Source organism: Homo sapiens, chromosome 8 (assembly GCF_000001405.40).
Source record: "Homo sapiens chromosome 8, GRCh38.p14 Primary Assembly".
Taxonomy (NCBI): Eukaryota; Metazoa; Chordata; class Mammalia; order Primates; family Hominidae; genus Homo; species Homo sapiens.
The window spans coordinates 37,277,392-37,282,032 of NC_000008.11; the positions used below are offsets into that span (position 1 = coordinate 37,277,392).

At 44.4% G+C, this 4,641-nt stretch overlaps 1 annotated feature.

Annotated features, from left to right (window-relative positions):
• Nucleotides 1,580-2,779: an enhancer, noted in NCBI's record as "MED14-independent group 3 enhancer chr8:37136489-37137688 (GRCh37/hg19 assembly coordinates)". NCBI's record gives its function as "activates an origin of replication core promoter dependent on BRD2, BRD4, P300/CBP and CDK7 cofactors, and independent of MED14, by STARR-seq in HCT116 cells {active_cell/tissue: HCT116}" and the evidence as "EXISTENCE:reporter gene assay evidence [ECO:0000049][PMID:35650434]".

The window sequence follows — 4,641 nt, forward strand, 5'->3', positions numbered from 1 at the left end:
GACTGAAAATGTTCCACATGCCACAAGTCTACAAAAAACTTAAATTTATTAAAGAATAAATGGGATCTTTCTTCACCCAGAATCCCGTCCTCACTGCCGGCACAGAGTGACCCAGCACCCTAAACATTCATGCTCATGGCTAAACCTATTCAGGCCCCAGGTTAATTTCTAACTCGTATCCTCTAGATACAAGGAAGTTGTGGCCGGGCACAGTGGCTCACGCCTGTAATCCCAGCACTTTGGGAGGCCAAGGTGGGCAGATCACCTGAGGTCCGGAGTTTGAGACCAGACTGACCAACATGGAGAAACCCCGTCTCTACTAAAAATACAAAATTAGCCGGATGTGGTAGCACATGCCTGTAATCCCATCTACTCCAGAGGCTGAGGCAGGATAATGGCTTGAATCCGGGAGGTGGAGGTTGCTGTGAGCCGAGATCGCGCCATTGCACTCCAGCCTGGGCAACAAGAGTGAAACTCCGTCTCAAAAAAAATAAAATAAAATAAAAGGAAGTTGTGCCCAAGTACCATGGAAGTTGTGAGTTGAGCCACTGCTGTCAGAAACTGACACTGCTGTAGAAGGGCTTAGATCTAGAAGAAAGGAGGGAGTAACCAACCAGTTTAGCCTGTTCTCTCAAATAATATGATGCTATAGAGACATAAAGAAATGTTATTGTTTTCCAGTAGAGCCAAGTGGCCATTTTCTTACTTCTTTCCATGTTCTAACTCATGGTTTAAGGGTATTAATGAAGTAACCACGGTAATTACAAGAGCTGCACATAGTGTCTGAGGTATATTTTGCATTCTTAAACAATTTATGGGCTAGGTTTGGTGGCTCATGCCTGGAATCCCAGCACTTGGGAGGCCAAGGCAAGAGCATTGCTTGAGGGCAGGAATTCAACACCAGCCTGGGCAATATAATGAGACCCAATCTCTACAAAAAAAAAAAAAATCCAGTCACCGGTGCCTGTAATGCCAGTGACTGGTGCCTGTAATCCCGGCTGTAAGACTGTGGCAGGAGACTGTGGGAGACTGAGGCAGGAGGACTGCCTGGGCCCAGGAGTGGAGCTACTCAGGAGGCTGTGGTGAGAGGATCACTTGAGCCCAGGAGTTGGAGGCTGAAGTGAGCCATGATCGTGCCACTGCACTCCAGCCCAGGCAACAGAGTAAGACTATTTCTCAAAAAATAAAAATAAATAATAAACAATTTATATTACTTTACATTTGTGTGTGTAAATGGATAAATGTACATAGATAAAGTGTGACACCAACTCTTCACATATCTGTGTGGATCCCGATATTGCTTTGAAAAACAGTGAAAATCAAGATATAAATGATAACAACTTACTTGATGAAAGTGATGAACTCTACACTATTTTCTGACCTAAGAATAATATGTGATCATATGTGATCCATTTCAATGTTTAAACAGAAAATGTAAAATTCATGCTCATTTCTGAATCCATGTACTTCTTTAAGACTTATATTGACAAATCCTGTTGCTACCACCTCAGCTAAGCAAAATTTCCCCAAGATGAAATTAATGAAGGGCCACATAAGAACTACAGTGACGGGGCCAAGATGGCTGACTAGAAACAGCAGTGTTGGGAGGCTCCCATCTAAGAAAACCATAATAACTGTGTGAGTCCTTCACTGGCAACCAAGGTATACAGGTTTTCTCATCAGAACTGTCTAGGAGACTGACGTGACCCATGGAGAGAAGGAAGAACAGTATGGTACGGCGGCCCACCTGAGAGCCACATGGAGTGGAAAAGCCTACTCCCCCCAGCCAAGAGAGGTGGTGAGTGACCATGCTACCCACCTGGGGAAACCCTGCTTTTTCCACAGAACTGTGCAACCCATGGATCAGAAGATCCCACTCACGAACCCATGCTACCGGGGCCTAGCGTCCCAACCCCAGAGTGCAGAGACACTTAACAGCCTCTCAGCTAAAATCTGCTTAAACCTACCAAACTCCTGGGGAAGGAGTGACCAGCACTAGCTGCAGCTGCCTGCTGTGTAAGCCCTTTGAGCTCCTTGTGGGAGAGGTAGCAGCCAGCACTGATACTGGCAATTGCCTAACATGTTAAGCTCCCTGGCAGGGGAAGGGTGGCACCCATCTCTATAGCTCCAGGCTGTGCTTTTTCCCTGCTGGAGCCACGAAGGCTGGATAGCTTTTTCCCAAGACTTTTCCCCATGGCCCAACACACCAGGTGTGGCAGTCTGTGGCCAGAGGGCCTCTTCAGGCCTGACCCTGACTCATCCTTCCTCACTGGGTGGGGCTTCCCTGCAGGAAGTCCAATAACTCCAGCCAGAGGCTCAGGGACAGAACCCGTATCCCCCTGGGCCTGATTCCCTAGGGAAAGGGGTGGCTACAGTATCTGCGGACCAGCAGACTTAGTCTTTTCTCCTGGCAGTTCTGAGGAATCTGGTCAGCCCAGATGAGTGGGTTTCCCCCAGTGAAGCACACCTCCTCCACCAAGGAAGAAAGTGCTTCATTAAATGGGTCCTGTTCCTCATGCCACCCAACTAGGTGAGAACCTCCAACAGGGGTTGTCAGACATCCTGTACAGGAGCAATCCTACTGGCATCAGGTTGGTGCCCCTCAAGATTAGAGGTCCCAGAAGAAGGAGCAGGCACGCACCTGTGCTGTTCTCCAGGCTTCTTCAGTGACATCTCTAGGCACAGCGGCAAATCAGATGAATAGGGCCTGAAGTGAACCCCCCAGCAAACAGCAGCAGCCCTACAGAAGAAGGACCTGACTATTGAAAGAAGAACAAACAAGCAGGAAGCAACAACAACAATGACATCAACAAAAAAGCCCCCACAAAAACCGCAACCAAGGGTCAGCAGCCTCAAAGACCAAAACTAGACAAACTCACGGAGATGGGAAAGAGTCAATGAAAAAAATGCTGAAAACTCAAAAGGCCAGAGTGCCTCTTCTCCTCCAAATGATTGCAACATCTCTCCATCAGGGGCAGAGAACTGGGTGGAGGATCAGATAGATGAATTGACAGAAGTAGGCTTCAGAAGATGGGTAATAAAAAACTACACTGAGCTAAAGGAGCATGTTCTAACCCAAAGCAAAGAAACTAAGAACCTTGACGAAAGGTTAGGGGAATTGCTAACTAGAATAATCAGTTTAGAGAGGAACATAAACAACTGATGGAGCTGAAAAACACAGCATGAGAACTTTGTGAAGCATACACAAGTATCAATAGCTGAATCGACCAAGAGGAAGAAAGGATGTCAGAGTTTGAAGACCACCTTCCTGAAATAAGACATGCAGACAAGACTAGAGAAATAAAAATGGAAAGTAATGAACACAGCCTCCAAGAAATATGGACTTCATAAAAAGACCAAACCTACGATTGATTGGCATACCAGAAGGAGATGGGGGTAATGGAAACAAGCTGGAAAATACACTTCAGGATATTATCCAGGAAAACTTCCCCAACCTAGCAAGATAGGCCAATATGCAAATTCAGGAAATACAGAGAACACCATTAAGATACTCCACAAGAAGATCAACTCTAAGACACATAATCATCAGATTCTCCAAGGTCGAAATGAAGGAAAAACTGGCAGCCAGAGAGAAAGACCAGGTCATCTACAAAGGGAAGCCCATCAGACTAACAGAAGACCTCTCAGCAGAAACTCTACAAGCCAGGAGAGATTGGGGGGCCAATATTCAACATTCTTAAAGAACAGAATTTTAACCCAGAATTTTATATCCAGCCAAGCTAACCTTCATAAGTGAAGGAGAAATAAAATCCTTTCCAGACAAGCAAATGCTGAGGGATTCCATTACCACCAGGACTGCCCTGCAAGAGCTCCTAAAAGAAGCACTAAATATGGAAAGGAAAATTCAGTACCAGCCACTGCAAAAACACACCAAAATACAAAGACCAATGACACAATGAAGAAACTGCATCAACTGGTATGCAAAATAACCAAATAGCAGTATGATGACAAGATCAAATTCACATATAACAATACTAACCATAAATGTAAATGGCTAACTGCCCCAATTAAAAGACACAGACTGGCAAATTGGATAAAGAGTCAAGACCCATTGGTGTGCTGTATTCAAGAGACCCATCTCATGTGCAAAGACACACATGGGCTCAAAACAAAGGGACGGAGGAAAACTTACCAAGCAAATGGAAAAAAAAAAAAAAAGGCAGGGGTTGAAATCCTAGTCTCTGATAAAACAGACTTTAAACCAAAAAATATCAGAAAAGACAAAGAAAGGCAATAAATAATGGTAAAGGAAACAATTCAGCAAGAACTAACTATTCTAAATATATACACACCCAATACAGGAGCACCCAGATTCATAAAACAAGTTCTTAGAGACCTATGAAGAGACTTAGGCTCCCAAACAATACTACTGGGAGACTTTAACACCCCACTGTCAGTATTAGACAGATCTACAAGACAGAAAATTAACAAGGACTTGAACTCAGCTCTGGATCAACTGGAGCTAGTAGACATCTACAGAACTCTCTATCCCAAATCAACAGAATATACGTTCTTCTTAGTGCCATGTAGCACTTATTCTAAAATCAACCACATAATTGGAAGAAAAACACTCCTCAGGAAATACAAAAGACCAGAAATCATAACAAGCAGTCTTTCAGA